The sequence below is a fragment of the Homo sapiens genome, chromosome 6, assembly GCF_000001405.40.
Source record: "Homo sapiens chromosome 6, GRCh38.p14 Primary Assembly".
Classification (NCBI taxonomy): Eukaryota; Metazoa; Chordata; class Mammalia; order Primates; family Hominidae; genus Homo; species Homo sapiens.
In genome coordinates this window covers 64,911,161-64,928,022 of record NC_000006.12, presented here as the reverse complement: position 1 = coordinate 64,928,022, position 16,862 = coordinate 64,911,161, and the positions used below count along the sequence as shown (strand labels likewise).

At 36.1% G+C, this 16,862-nt stretch overlaps 1 protein-coding gene across 2 annotated transcripts in view; it reads left to right on the top strand.

Annotated features, from left to right (window-relative positions):
• Positions 1-16,862, top strand: part of EYS (eyes shut homolog) — a 1,987,247-nt gene that overhangs the window by 779,204 nt on the left and 1,191,181 nt on the right. For both annotated transcript variants that reach the window (NM_001142800.2, NM_001292009.2), the window contains exon 16: positions 15,280-15,539. In NM_001142800.2, coding sequence (NP_001136272.1) covers positions 15,280-15,539 — 260 coding nt within the window. The remainder of the gene's footprint in view (positions 1-15,279; positions 15,540-16,862) is intronic.

Below are 16,862 nucleotides of genomic sequence, written 5' to 3'. Positions count from 1 at the left end.
CCAAAATATAGAACTTATCCATCACCCTAGAAAGTTTTCTTGTGCCCCATTCACAGTTCATTTCCACCCTCTTATACCCTATTTGTTGGGCTTTTGAAAATTTTCCTTTTGTAATAATTTCTGATAAACTATTTCAAAACATCGATACTTTTTTTCAGCATGAGAAATCTTTAAATGTAAATTAAATTATCTATTTACTATGTTTATCTTAATAAAGGGGTTTCATAGAAACTTTTAATTTGACTTTTATTATAACTATGGCCAGATGATATACTGATATTATTTATGTTTGTTTCTTATATGAGGATATAAAAAAATTATATAGATCAGTTGGCTTTTCAAATGACATGTTATTAGCAGAAGAGATATAGAATTTAGGACTTCTTACACCAGAACCCTTAAGATTTGACATTATTTTTTATTGTCACCTGTAACTCCTTGCCAAATCAGTGATGAAAGGGTTGTTCAGTGTTGTGGTTTTTCTTATGCTGGGGAGTTTTGACATAAATTTAATGGTAAAAAGTTTTATTTCTGTATTTGTTATTCTAAATTGTTTCAGTCTATAGAATTGATCACGTAAGTAATCAATAACTTTTATTAGTGTATTTCTAGGTAAGTAAGATTTCGTATTGCTAGTTTGATTTAGGGATATTTCTTTTCTTGTAGAGGGCTTTCTTCTCAGATCAATGTTGTTTTGCTCAATAATCTGTGGGTATTTCCAATGCATGCCCCGAGTAACTATCAGCTTTCAAAATGATAAGCCAGCTGACAAACAAAAAGAGCTCACATAAAACTAAGGAATCCATTTTATGTGTTTCTCCTAGATCTGTGTCTAGAGCACATTATTCGAGCTAATAATCCTTTTTTTTCCACACAAAGTTAGCATGTTACATTTTGCCTTCAATTTTCATGCAGAATCAGTTTAAAAGATGTGCATTTGAACATTTCTATACCTATTGCAAAGCCATACATCAAGACATGGTCCATCATGTTTCCCAATGTCCTATACTAAAAGATTCAGCTATAAAATTCTTCTTTGACTTCAGAATGAGAAAATATAACTCTGCTTTCTTTTGTAAAAAAATCATGACGTATATCGCCTGTATAGTCTTTATATTTGCTCTTGCTTTTCACAGTAAATCACAATTAACGTATGTCTTGGTATAGGAATTCTTTACAAATACCTACATTTTAGGGTCTATCTCTTTTTCAAAGTTTTTAAACACCTTTCTTTCACCAGATGGGTAATTGGAGGCTTTGTTAGTATACCTCACCTACTTAGAAATAGCAAAATTGTGTGTAAAGATTCACACTGTGAACTTCTGTGCAAAAAGGAACACGGGAGATCAACATAAGAGTTAAAGAAAACTTTGGGCACTTAGAAAAAAAATGCAGGTAACAACTCATGTGGCAGGCTCCAGCAGAAAATTGTGAGTGAATCCCCAGTGCATGAGATAGAGAGTGATTGCCTCCATGATGCACATTCCCACTGGGAAGCTGGGCAATCCAGGCTATAACGGAGATCCTTGTCCCAACCAAGCTCTGGATCTAACCTGGGGAGCCATCAGAAGTCTATGAGCAGGAACAGCCCTAGAAATTATCCTGCATGCTCTCCTAGAACTGGGCATCAATAGAATGAGGCCATTCTGTATCCTAGCTCATAGGGAGCTATGTGGAAACCTGCCAGCCAGCACAAGTGGCAGTTACTGGTCTGGAGAGTCTCAGGTCAGAGATTTATGATCTTGAGCAGGGGAGAAGCCCCTGGGGCTAGAATTGAGAGGCAAATGTGGTATGTGCTCCAGCCACAGGCACAGTACTTGGGTGCTCCCTCTTCAGAGGACATGAGTGGGTGTGGTTTTGACCCCAGCAGAAAGTTTTGTGGCCTGGGATAGGTCTGCCTGAAGGCAAACTAGGAGTGCTTTGGCTAACTGTTCTAAGTTTCTGCCAGAGTCAGACTATAGGAGGGAGCCCTCCTAGGTTGGGAGTACGAGAGCACAGCAGGTCCCACTACCACTTGCTAGTCTGTAGAGCCTGAGCCATCTCTCATTCCCCATCCTGGGTCTTAGGCCCAGCAATGATTATTCTGCTCCTCATTGGGAAGTTATTCTAGGGACCCGAGAACTGACTCCGAACCCTACTGGGGCTGGTGCTTGCACCCACCATTAGGGGCCCACATGCAGGCTCGCTTGGCCCAGTTCCCAGCTATGCTGCCTCTGTCCTCAGAGGCAAAGTGGGGGACAAGGACCACTGAATGTTCTACAACCCAACCCACCACCTGGGAACCTGAGAACTTCATTTAGATTACACCTTTGGGTGTAGATGAGAGATCATCTAGACAAGGTGAGAACATCTTACAGGAGAGAGCTAGTGACCATGCCATCTGGCTCTCACCTATAAGCACCACTTTCTGGCCTTAAGATCTACTTCATAGCCCATTTCAGTATCTGCTGACACAAGTACACAGCATTTGGGAAGGTAGCCTCATATGACCTCTGCTACCACTATTATTCACACCACCCTTGCTCATTAGGAGGCCTTGGGCCTGCTGACACACCAGGCACATCGCTACCACAATGAGCATTTGAGAAGCCACCACATGAAGACTACGTATAACCAAAGAAATCATACAGAGTCTATTCCACTGATAGAGTTTGGTTGTGCCCCATCCAAATCTCAACTTGAATTGTATCACCCAGAATTCCCATGTATTGTGGGAGGGACCCAGGGGGAGGTAATTGAATCATGAGGTCTGGTCTTTCCCGCACTATTCTTGTGATAGTGATTAAGTCTCATGAGATCTGACGGGTTTACCAGGGGTTTTCGCTTTTGCTTCTTCCTCATTATTCTCTTGCCACTACCATGTAAGAAGTGGCTTTCATCTCCCACCATGATTCTTTCTTAGGCCTGCCCAGCCATGTAGAACTATAAATCCAATTAAGCCTCTTTTTCTTCCCAGTCTCGGGTATATCTTTATCAGCAGCATGAAAATGAACTAATACAGTAAATGGTACCAGTAGAATGGGGTGCTGCTGAAAAGATACCCAAAAACGTGGAAGTGACTTTGGAACTGGGTAATAGTCAGAGGTTGGAACAGTTTGGAGGGCTCAGAAGAAGACAGGAAAATGTGGGAACGTTTTGAACTTCCTAGAGTCTTGTTGAATGGCTTTGCCCCAAATGCTGATAGTGATATGGACAATAAGGTCCAGGCTGCAGTGGTCTCAGATGGAGATGAAGAACTTGTTGGGAACTGGAGAAAAGGTGACTCTTGTTATGTTTTAGCAAAGAGACTGGTGGAATTTTGCCCCTGCCCTAGAGATTTGTGGAACTTTGAATTTGAGAATGATGATTTAGGGTATCTGACAGTAGAAATTTCTAAGCAGCAAGGCATTCAAGAGGTGACTTGGGTACTGTTAAAGGCATTCAGTTTTATAAGGGAAGCAGAGCATAATAATTTGGAAAATTTGCAGCCTGACTATGCAATAGAAAAGAAAAAACCCTTTTTCTGGGGAGAAATTCAAACTGGCTGCAGAAATTTGCATAAGTAGCAAGGAGCCTAATGTTAATGCCGAAGACCATGGGGAAAATGTCTGCAGGCCATGCCAGAGACCTTCACAGCATCCCCTCCCATCACAGCCCTGGAGTCCCAGGAGCAAAAAATGGTTTTGTGGGCTGGGCCCAGGGTCACCATACTGTGTGCAGCCTAGGGACTTGGTGCCCTGTGTCCCAGATGCTCCATCCATAGCTGAAAGTGACCAAAGTACAGCTTGGGCTGTGGCTTCAGAGGGTGGAAGCCCTAAGCCTTGGCAGCTTCCACATGGTGGTGAGCCTCTGGGGGCACAGAAGTCAAGAACTGAGGTTTGGGAACCTCTGCCTAGATTTCAGAAGATGTATGGAATCGCCTGGATGCCCAGGCAAAATTTGCTGAAGGGGCGGGGTCCTCATGGAGAACCTCTGCTAGGGCATTGTGGAAGGGAAATGTGGGGTCAGAGTCCCCACACAGAGTCCCTACTGGGGCACCACCTAGTGGAGCTGTGAGAAGAGGGCCACTATCCTCCAGACCCCAGAATGGTAGATCCTCTGACAGCTTGCACCATGTGCCTGGAAAAGCCACAGACAATGCCAGCCTGTGAAAGCAGCCAGGAGGGGGGCTGTACCCTGCAAAGCCACAGGGGCAGAGCTGCCCAACACCATGAGAACTTACCTCTTGCACCAGTGTGACATGGATGTGAGACATGGAGTCAAAGGAGATCATTTTGGAGCTTTAAAATTTGATTGCCTCGCTGGATTTTGAACTTGCATGGGCCCTGTAACCCCTTTGTTTTGGCCAATTTCTCCCATTTGGAACAGCTGTACTTACCCAATACCTGTACCCCCACTGTATCTAGGAAATAACTATCTTGCTTTTGATTTTACAGACACATAGGTGGAAGGGACTTGCCTTGTCTCAGATGAGAATTTGGACTTTTGAGTTAATGCTGAAATGAGTTAAGACTTTGAGGGACTGTTAGGAACACATGATTGGTTTTGAAATGTGAGGACATGAGATTTGGAAGGGCCATGGGTGAAATGATATGGTTTGACTATATCCCCATCCAAATCTCAACTTGAATTGTATATCCCAGAATTCCCACATGTTATGGAAGGGACCCAGGGGGAGGTAATTGAATCATGGAGGCAGGTCTTTCCTGTGCTATTCTCGTGATAGTCATTAAGTCTCATGGGATCTGATGGGTTTGTCAGGGGTTTTTCCTTTTGCTTCTTCCTTATTTTTCTCTTGCCACCACCATGTAAGACATACCTTTCGCCTCCCATCATGATTCTGAGGCCTCTTTAGCCATGTGGAGCTGTAAGTCCAATGAAACCTTTTTTTCCCCCGTGTCTAGTATGTCTTTATCAGCAGCGTGAAAACAGACTAATACAGCCACTAAACATACCCAGAAGCAAAGCCAAATGGCCTTACTCAACATACATCATAGGCACATCCTCAAGAAAAGTCCCACCCCAAAAAAAGTAAACAAGAGTAAGAAGTGTTTCTCCAGATGAGAAAAAAATCAGCATAGTAATACTGGATCTTGAATCCTAAACAAAATGAAATGTTGGGATGCTGGATAAAGAATTCAAAGTAGGTCTCTTACTCCACCTAGAGCTTGGGGTCCATCTCCACTGCTCTGTGTCCTCCGTTCCAGGAGACCCAGATGACTGTCATAGTCTCTGTTACCTTGTGACCTGCAGGTACTGGGATATCCATAGCTAAGATGCCAGGACACCCTAGAAGCTAGGGAATGAGTTAGAAAATACATTTAAAGGGATGTTGGGTCAAGATGGCAGACTAGAAGCAGTGCATTTGCACTGCTATCATGGAGAGGAAACAAAAGGGCCAGTGAATACTGGCATTTAATTTATCCTCTATTTTTTCTGGAATTCTGCCATTGGGATTCCTCTCATTTTATTAACTAATATATATCCTGAGTCTTTTATATCTCCTTAAATATTTTGTTGTATAGTAATATTTATACTTGTCTTAAAATTATCTAGCTGTAATTTTAATATGCTTGGTAAAATAATACTTATATAAGATGTCTGGCTCTTTTCATACTCATTTATTTTTACATTTACATTTGCACACAAACACAACAGTCTATTTTGCACTAATTCCTTTCTAAGTTTTTCTTATCTTTAAATTTAGTTCTTCAAAACCTTAGTATTTGTGGGAATGTGTGTGAGTCAACACAATGTCCTTGTCAATGAGAAACAAGCAGAATCTTCCCTGGCTCAGAGGAAAATATTGGTTTTTCAATTGCTTGTGTGTGAACACATATATGCATATGCATGTGTATGTGTGTGACAGAGGTGGGAGAGAGGGAGAATGGATTTATTTTTCGTCACCCCAGTGAATAACAGTAGCAACAGGACTGCTGATTTTCCTTCATGGGCCCTCAATGTTGCATGTCTCTGAAATTCCAAATTCTGCCAGTGTCTTTTCTTCTACCCCAAACACTCTTTGATGGAAAATTGGCCCAGCCTTATATTTCAAGCAAGTTTTTTTTTTTAATTTTTGTTCTTGTTTTTTAAAATTTTTCATCAGTTTCCTACTCTGAGAACTATTTTTGTGCCCTTTCTGCTGGCTTACTCCAGCAGCAGGCACCTACCTGCTCTTCATATCTGCTCTTATCTTGGTCCTTTCACAATATTTGTCATCTAATTCTTTTGTGCTTTGGCTTGGGATTATTGATAACTGTTTTATTGAGGATGAAGTTTTATTTTCTGTTTCTAATTTTCTTTGTCACATTGAGTTAGATTCAGAGAGACACAGGCACTGGTGACTTTACTTCATACTTTACAAAGATAAATCTCTTCTACTTTGAATTTATCCTTTCTTTCCATGAGTTTGAAGTTCTGGCTTAGTGAATTTTAAAGGCTTTTTGAATATCACTTGGACTCCGGCTTGACTAAGTACCAGGAAGAGTCTCATCAAGAAGCAGGATCATAGATAATAAACTTTCCACATAACCCCTGTGAGACAGGTGACCCTTTAGTGACATTTTAAAAAATAATTATTTTGCTTCTCTTTCCTTCTTTCCATTTCTCTCTTATCTCTGCTATCCTTATTTATTTCTATAGTTCCATCTGTTTTATTAAAAAATAAGACAATTTGAGTGTTATTTAAATTTTTAAGGAAGGACATGTTCTATAATTTTAAATTTTAATAAAATAATGGGTTAATAATTCTGTATGTGGAAAGATATGTTAGTGTTCATTTTCAATAGGTTTATTTTTGCATATTTTTACATCGGCTAACTGAATTTATGTTACATTTCAGAATTAATGGTGTTATATGCATATAGTCTGAACTAAGTATGTGTGATTAGTAATTAGAGTATATAGTTTTAATACATGTTACCCCTAAGGAGTATGAAACAGATATAGCATTTATTATAATGCCAGTCCTAACAAAAAAACAAAGACTATTTTGTTTCCTCATTGCTTGTAATATTTCCATATGCATAAAAATCCTTTGGCTTTTGCTAGCTCAGTTGATTTTCTTCTGAGACTTCAAGTGTAATGCTTATTAAACTGGGAGTTTAAAATGTTTCTCCATATGAAACACCTGACATGCTGAAGATTTATGAATTATTTTGTAAAATGTTTATAAATTTGTTTAAGTTCTATATCTTAGTACTTTGCTTATGTAACACTCTGTATCCTGCTTTTGTATTTAAAATTCTGCCTCCTACTCAAATTGTACCTGAAAGAATAAAAATATATGTGTAGGTATATAGGATCTTTATACATTTTAAACTGTATTTGAAAGATTATATATGCATTTTCAAGTATAATTTGAATACAATGTGTGGGTATAGGTATGGATATTATACTTGCATATACACATGCAGACATATACTTACATACATTTTTAAGCATTGAAAAAGATGCAACTATGAATTCTTCTGAATATATAAAGCATTATATTTAAAAGCAGACTTACTTGGACTTGCTACAAAGATCCTTTTTGGAAAAAAACAGGAGCCAGAAGTAATACTTACTTGCTCAGAAACTGATTCATCATCAATTTTCCGCTTACACACACACACCATTAAGGAAAAATAAAATAGAAGAAATTAAAGACAGTAACTTAAACTAGGTTTATGTTCAAAGCTAAATCACATAATTGTTCATGTTACTCATGTTTATAACACTAGTCATTTTCTTGACTCAACAGGTAAACTTACAGAATAGTAGCTTCAACTATCTTATGTAGTCAGCCTTTTTGAGCAAGTGTTGTCTTTCAGCTTTATTCAAGATGTTGTTGAAAGATTCATCTTTCAACATAAATGTCTTAGGGCTTGTTGTAGGCTTACAAAAAAATCTAAATTCTGATCATCCAAGTGGTAAAATACCCCATTCTCATGGTTTCTGTATTATGACCACAATGACAAAAAAAAAAAATGAAACTAATCTCACTATATGGCATCTCACTGTACGGCATATGTTTGGCTTTGCTGTTCTAGTCCCAGATTCAAATGTATTTAACTTTGGGTATTCTTCAAAATACAGCATGAGTTCCATCAGATTTACCTCAGATTTTAAATATGAATATACTGGAGGCGTGACCCAATGCATTATCTGCCTCTGCTTGTCTGGCATTTTAGCTTTCTTCTATGAAACGAGGAATATTCTGAATCTTGAAAAAGCCTTGAATTGTTTTTTAGAAATACTGACCTACAAAGCAGCTTGAATTAAATAACTCTGAAAAAGATTATTGACCAGTTGTCTTTTTACATGGCACAGGAGATTAAATCATATAGAATATTGGAAACAGATAATTTGAAGAGAATTATATCAAGGAATTATCCATACAGTTCATTTACATCAAAATGTATGAAAAATATAGATTATAATTCTTCCAATTGAAATAATTGACTTATAAATTATGTGTATAAATAAATTATATGTCTGAATTTATTTTTTTGAAAAAATATATGAAATGATGCTTGATGGCCTAAATAGAAGAAATCCTTTTTCTATTAATATTAAAACAGAAATTCTTGAGTTCATTTAGAATACATACTCCATAAACTTCAGCCTCACAAAAAAAAAAAAAAGAAAAAAAGAAAAACATAAAAAAGGAAGGTTTGCCCAGCCTGACCAACATGGTGAAACCCTGTTTCTACTAAAAATACAAAAAATAGCCGGGTGCGATGGCAGGGCTGTAATCCCAGCTACTTGAGAGGCTGAGGCAGGAGAATCGCTTGAACCCGGGCAGCAGAAGTTGCAGTGAGCCGAGAACGCGCCACTGCACTCCAGCCTGGGCGACAGAGTGAGACTCCATCTCAAAATAAATAAATAAAAATTAAAGAAAGAAAGGTTTGCTTACTATCTATCTTGCTTACTGTCTATCCGACCACATGCTTACTCTAATCTGCCTAGTAGAACTCTTTCCTGCCTATTTCTTTTCAAAGAATCTACATATGTACCTAAGATTCTATAAAATACTGCAGAATATCATAATGAAGAGGATTCTATATGTTTCATAAATTTATATTTCAGCAGAGAAGGCCAAATTTAAATTTATTTATTCCTAGTATTATTTGTTAGAATGGTACTTGAATTTTTATTGCATGCCTTGGTTTTTCTAGAGCTCCATATTTGAATTTTCAATACATGCAGGACAGCATCTGAAATCATGCAATTTATTTGATTTAAGTTGTTACATATTAAGCATCAGTGCCATCTTATTTTCTTCTATTTCCATCGTTGTCATCTGTCTCCTACCTGATGGCATCATTATCTTTCCAATAGTGAATGTGAAGCCCACTGAGTCCTCACTCCTCACTCTGCCTCATCTGCTTACTAACCATTATCCAAATCTTCTCTGTCCTACATCAGAAATATATCTCAAATTTGATGTACTTTATTACTCCCTTTGTGTAGTACTCATAATCTCTTATCAGTAATGAAACAATAGCTTCCTAAATGATCTTCATGCTTCCAAGCTGTCCCTATGTTAATCCATCTACTGGATAACAATCAATGTTACTCCCAGGCTTAGAAACAAACAAACGAACAAACAAACAAAAAACCCTTAAATATCTTCAAGGGTAAAGTCAAAATTCCTTAATTTTACTTTTCTTGTTGTTGCAGTAGTTTTCACAATCCTCAGCAACTTTGCCTTGCTATTACTGTTTTTAGGCTACCTCCTCACTTTCATTTTACCCATATCAATCTTCTCATATGTTTTTACATACTAACATTTTCAGGCTGTTATTCAAAGTGGTCCTTAATTTTGTATTCTATTTTTAATGTTTACAAATATTTTTTACAATAGATTTTTCCGTCTAAATGAGCTAAGTGATTTTCCACATTTATTTCCAAGAAGAAGATTGCAGAGGTTAAGAGTTTAGTAATGTTCATGTTATAATTCGGTATGAATATAATTTTGTTGATGGTATGTACACCTAAGGGTGTAAATAGGTTAATAGACAAAACAATAAAATAATGAATGAATTATTTAATTCGGTAGCTCATTAAAAAAAATTCTTCCCTTTCCTATGTCCCCAATTTGTAGGACACTAAAAAGATAACAATACTATTTTATTATTAACGGTCATTATTTCTTTTTCACCTAGCAGTTTTGGTTGAAATTTTGTGTTTCAAATATGTAATGATTGCAGGAAATAATGAACTAATTTTTAAAATTAACACATAAAAATTGTGTATATTTATGTTGTATAACATAATGTTTTGATATATGCATACATTTTGAAATGGGTAAATCAAGCTAATTAACATATGCATTACTTCACATAGTTATCTTTTTCATGAAGAAAGCACTTAAAATCTCTCTTAAAAAATTTTAAGTGCACAATATCTTGTTATTAATGATAGTCATGATCATGTACAATTGGTTTGTTGAACTTTTTCCTTCCATCTAACTGTATCCTGTGACCAACATCTCCACTGATCTCCTCCACCTCCCAGTAGCTGATAAACAACATTTTACTGTTTGCTTCTAAGAGAAGTGAACTGATTTTTATAAGAAAATATTCTTTTAAACTGCATATACACTTAGGTTTGTATTAATAAATTTAGAGCCAAAAAAGCCTATATGCCTTAATATACAAAATATATTCAAACACAGATACATATTGCTGAACGATCCTTTGTCATTACAAATAAATGTTTATGGTAAGGTAAACATATAGAATGCTTAGTCATTAGAAATTGACATTTATTAAGATTTTTGAAGCTAGTGAATTTTGTTTTTTTTTTTTTTGAGACTAAGTCTCGCTCTGTCACCCAGGCTGGAATGCAGTGGCACGATCTCTGCTCACTGCAGCCTCCGCCACCCAGGTTCAAGCAATTCTCCTGCTTCAGCCTCCCGCGTAGCTGGGGCTACAGGCGCGTGCTGCCACGCCTGGGTAATTTTTGTATTTTTAGTAGAGACAGGGTTTCACCATATTGACCAGGATGGTCTTGATTTCCTGACCTCGTGATCCACCCGCCTCGGACTCCCAAAGTGCTGGGATTACAGGCGTGAGCCAACGCACCTTAATGAGTAGTATTTCTTCCACTTTTTAACGATGATAACTACTTTATTTTCTATTATCAGCTTTAGTACTTTAAATCAGCATTTAAGATTTGAAAAGTTGTCCTTAGAAGTGTTCAATGTATTTTACACCAATGAATTTAGATTTTCTCACACTAGGGAAAAGAGCAAATTAGAATGTATTAACCTATCTTTAGGCACGCACTTACTTGTTTTCAAGTGTTTACTACCAGAAATTGTACACTCAAAAAGTCACACGGTATGTGCTTTGCATTTTTTTTTTAATCCATAAAGACTCTGCTTCTAGCTGTGAGTTTGAAAATATCTGCCTGGTTCCACTAAATCCTGAAATTATTTCATGGAGCAAACTTAGAATCTGATTGAAGCCCTCACATCAAATATGTTTTCCTTTTCCCACCCATCAAACACTAGCTTCTCTGACATGTGCGGAAGCAGATTCAAATATGTAAACCTGTAGGTATGATTGTTAGTCACTAGTAGTGACTTTGTTCCTCGGAACTTTATTTTCTATAAAACATCCATGTTATCTCCATAGAACTCAGCCTTGGCATTATCAGTCCTCTTGACATACAGCCACATTCTTTCCTGAGGATTGGATCCTTGGAATGACACCACATGAGGTCTTAGGCCACCTGTTATGTGAGAAGATAAAACAAACCTTCAGCACATATGCCAAATAGGCAAGAATTGTCGGTTTTTCTTAGGAAACTCTTTTAAATTAACCAAGTTGAAATTATGTACTCAGAATACAATAAAGAGAAAAACATAAATACTTGTGCAATACCCTCAGGACCTGTGTAACCATGATTTTAGAAAATATTAATTCTCTAGCTTTTCTCCTCTTAAAATTGCCATAGTATATTAACTGAGTCCCATTATATGACTGAATAGTTATATTTACAGTGATGTTATTTCAAGCAAAATAAATACACTGAAGTTCTCTTAAGACTGGGTAATACCCAATTTTAACATTATTTCACAAAATGTTTAAAGAAATGATACTAGATTTAAAGCATGTTTAAAAAAAGAAAAGAAAAGAAAAACAGGAACTTGAGAGGAGGAGATCTGGATTCTAAGTTCCATTTGCTTAACCACATGACTTAGGATACATCACTGTTATCCTTTGAACTTCCACCTATCTCATCTGTAAAGTGAGAAAAAGAATATCTCTTCTACATATTTCAAAGCTTTATTGAAAGTATCAAATTGGATAATATATTTGACAATTTTAAAATGTGATGTGATGATCAAACATTAAAAAGAAGTACTACTAAAAGCTAAAGAAATATTCATTGCTGAGATACACATTGTATTTAGGCTCATAGGTCAGAAAATGTATTCTTAAAACTTCTGTGACAGCATCTAGTAAACAGTGTAGGTGGCCAGGCAATGCAGATTCCAGGCACTATATATACTTTTTATTCATCATGTCATGTAATCTTTACAACAATTCTCTGAGATTACCAATTTCATTAAACTCTCTGATCCTCAACTTCCTAAATGAAAGAGTGCAGATAAGTTGATCTGTTTCAACACTGAGGACCTTATATCAATTCTTATAGTATTGTCAACATTTATTGTGTTGACATGATAATGTGGAGATTCAGATCATTCTTAGACATTCAGGAACCAGAAGTTTAATGGTGGAGGCAAACCATGCAAATGATTTTAACACAAGATAGTATATATGATGAGTTCCTAAAGTGTATGGCAAGCAAATTTTAGAGCAAAGTGAAATAATTTGTAGGATTAGTAAATAGGTAAGTGTATAGTTGTTTGTTTTGTTTTGTTTTTTAGATACTCAATTTCAGTAATGGGATATAGGAGATAAAGATTTTTAAAAAAAGCACCTTAGAAACTTTTATAAGTAAAAGGATGCCCTGAAAATTATATCAGAACAACAAACTGAACCAAGTCTCTCCAGGCAAACTAGGATGGAAAGTCACCAAAATAATTAGAGCATTTTGATTTTGAGAAGAAAATAAAATATTAAGTAAATAACATACCCTTAGGTATATATTTTTTATATTGTGAAGGTATGAATTGTTTCAGTCATAAATTTTGTCTTGTGCTAGCATGCTTCACAAAGAAATGTGCAATTATCATGATAGCAATTACTTTCTACCCACAGCCAATTAAAAAAAAATTTAGACAGCTGTGAAATCCACTGGCTTACAATGCATTGGATTTAAACTTATTGAACTAGTAAACACTTTATTAGTCAATTATGTCTAATACCATTTTGCCAATTATTCATTTTGGTTTTTATTTTAATGGTAACTATATCGATTTAGAATTCAATTATAGATGTTGTTGCAAGTCATTTGTTCAATTATCTCCTCCAATATATTGGTATCCTATGTATTTATAATTATAAAGGGCCTTGATATATCTGGGGCTTTGAAACTGCAAATTAGGTGACTCTTTTCTTTGTTTCTTCCTTCTTTCCTTCCTCTTTGCTCCCCTCCTTTTAGTAAGATATTCTGTATCACAAAGTAAGTTACATTATTTCAGCACTATGACTTTTTTCAAGTTATCTTAAAAATCTAATCTATCAGTAAATACACTTTTTGAAAATAATTGTTCTAATATTTCCTGTGCTTGTTTCATGATTCATAACTTGCATAATAGTAAAGTTGCTCAAGATTTGGAAATCTACCTTGCCCACAAATTGACACAAGTTCTCTCCTTGAACACACCTACAGTTTGTGATTGTTTTCCACTTACCCAGCTGATGGACTACCTCTCTATCTCTCTATTTGCATTTACTCTCTATCTGCAGGCTTCACTATAACCTTTCCATTTCCCTCAAATGGACACTTTGTGTGTAAAACCCTTTCCCCCTCCTGTCTGCTAGAATTTTGTGTGTAAAACACTTTCCCCCTCCTGTCTGCTAGAATTTTTCTCTTCACGGCAGACTAGCCTCGTTTCATGGATGATGACTAGCCAAAGTGGTATTTGAAGATAATGACAGATACTGGATGGAGGACTAGACTGAGCTAGAAGCCTGTGATACACAGATAACTTCCAAATGCTTTATTTTTTATTTGTTTGCTTTCCCTTCAATTATCGCACATTATTCAAATATTAATACGAATTTAGTTCAGCCCACAGAAAGCATTATGGAGATTTCTCAAAGAACTAAAAATAGAACTACCATTTGACCCAAAAATCCCACTAATGAGCATCCACCCAAATAAAAAGAAGTCATTCTACCAAAAAGACAACTTCACTCATATGTTTATCATAGTGCTATTCACAAGAGCAAAATCATGGAACCAACGTAGCTGTCTATCAACGGTGGACTGGATAAAGAATATGTGATGCATATACACTGTGGAATCCTACAAAACCATGAAAAGAATTAAATCATGTCCTTTGCAGCAATATGGATGCAGCTAGAGGCTATTATCCTTAGTGAATTAATGCAGAAACAGAAAATCTAATATCATATTTTCTCACTTGCAAGTGGAAGCTAAACAATGGGTATACATGGACATAAAGATGGAAACAATAGAGGCTGAGAACTCCAAAAGTGAGCAGGGAAGGAGAAAGGTAGGGGTTGAAAATCTATTTATTGGGTTCTGTGTTCACTATTTGGGCAATGGGTTCAACAAAAGCCCAAACTACAGCATTATGCAATGTATCTGTGTTACAAACCTGCACATGTAAGCCCTGAATCTAAAATTTTTAAAAAAGAAAATATATTTTTAAAAATGCATTTCAAGTGATTCAACACACACACAAAGCCAAAAACAGATGCTTAACATAAAGTAACACCTTGTTATATACTCTGGTGATGACAAGAATTTCACATATTGCTAAGGACGCTGAATTAAATAGCATTTAAGGCTTATAAATAGTGATCTCATCTGTAAAACTTATATTAAATAATTCATAGGAAAATTTTGCTCAATTGGTGATTTAGGTCAATAGTTGTTCTCTGACATGTCTCAGAGGCCTAACTATGTTAGAAATTTGTTAATGCTTTTAAAATCTTATTTCAGCCAAGGTGGTAAGTTTTATGGTAATATATATTATACTGTCACAGGAAATTAGGCAAACAATATTTTAAAACTATGTATTATTTATTAGTCCTGTTATAAATTTAAAAGCACCACATACTATTAGTTCAAGGGAGTAATTAAAAATACAAAAAATAAACTTGAAAAAGAGTTCACACTTCTAAAAATTTTAATATTTTATTTCAGATGTGAGTGTACATCTGGATGGACTGGACAGAACTGTAGTGAAGAAATAAATGAATGCGACTCTGATCCATGCATGAATGGAGGTCTTTGTCATGAATCTACCATCCCTGGACAATTTGTATGTCTGTGCCCACCCCTTTATACTGGACAATTTTGCCACCAACGCTATAACCTTTGTGACCTACTTCATAACCCTTGCAGAAACAACTCAACATGCTTAGCTTTGGTAGACGCAAATCAGCATTGTATTTGTAGAGAAGGTAAGAGCTAATATGGATTTTATTGTTTTTAAATAATTACTTAATTAGTTTGTGTATTTATTGTGCCTATGGGATGATGGCCTCCTAAAATGGGTTGGAAAAATCCTATGTACATTGTGGGTAGGGGACTATCTAACTTCAAATCCAGTTATAAAAATGTATTAGAGAAATGCACCAAAGGAGTTAATCTAAGAATTAACCATTGGGAAGAGGGAAAAGAGTGAAGCTTTATAGCTTTTTGGCCCTTTTTTTTTCTTTCAGAAGTTGTCTCTCCTTTAATAACAGTTTCTCTTTTCTGAACAATCCTGTTCATGTAGTGTTCATGACAATAGCAGTTAGTTAGAGATGGGCATAGGTATAATTGGGGGTAATGAAATGCCCTATTGTACATTTTCTTCTGGAGCTATCAAAATATTACTTCTTTCTACTTAGATTGTTTAGTTACAATCACATAACTTTGGTGGCTACTTTGTCTCAAGAGAGAAATCCTATGCAAGAAAGAATGAGCAGTTCAAAAAATACTATTGGAGCTCCTGGATCCAGCCGTATCTGAAGCCAGGATATTTCTGGCTTTCTGGGTCATATCAGCCAATAACTCTGCTTATATCATTAAACTTTCTTGATTGGGGTCTCTTCATATGCAAGCGAAGAAAGTCTTATTAATGCACAGTGGTTTAGGTACATGTTCACTGTTCATGTATCAATGGCTACTCATAAGCAATTACCATCTTCAGTGGAAATGCTTCTGCTCCAAAACACATGGCCGGTTTTCAGAATAACTAGATGTGTCATAAGCATAATATAAAAAACACATTGTGTTTGGAGGCCCAAAACTGCAATTTATTTTCTAATACTCACTGTGGTTTCATGTTTTCCTGCCTCTCACTGGCCCTTAAGGGAGTCTCTTAATAATAAGGATATCACTTATTTACTCTTCTGTTCAAAAAAGTCAGCTTAGATGACATTAGTTAAACAGACATCTTATTCAAAGCTATTTCCATTTGTTTTGCATTAAAACTTCCTTAAGATGTTAATGTTTTTTAAGGATATTGAAGCAAGTTCTTGAACCTGTATACGTGACAGAAACTTCTGGGCCTTCTGAAGGATTAAAACTAAAAGCTAGAAAGCCATCAGTAATTGATTTTGCAAAAATAGCATGGGCTTTATAGAGCATATGAGAGAATATTTTCAAGAATGAGACAGGAAAAACAAGATAGAGAAGAAAAAAACGAAAAAATACAAGGGGAGCATTTGATGCCCAGAAAAATTTAGTAATTATGAAGAACATAATTCAAACAAGTAAATAGTTTTCCTTTTAGCAAG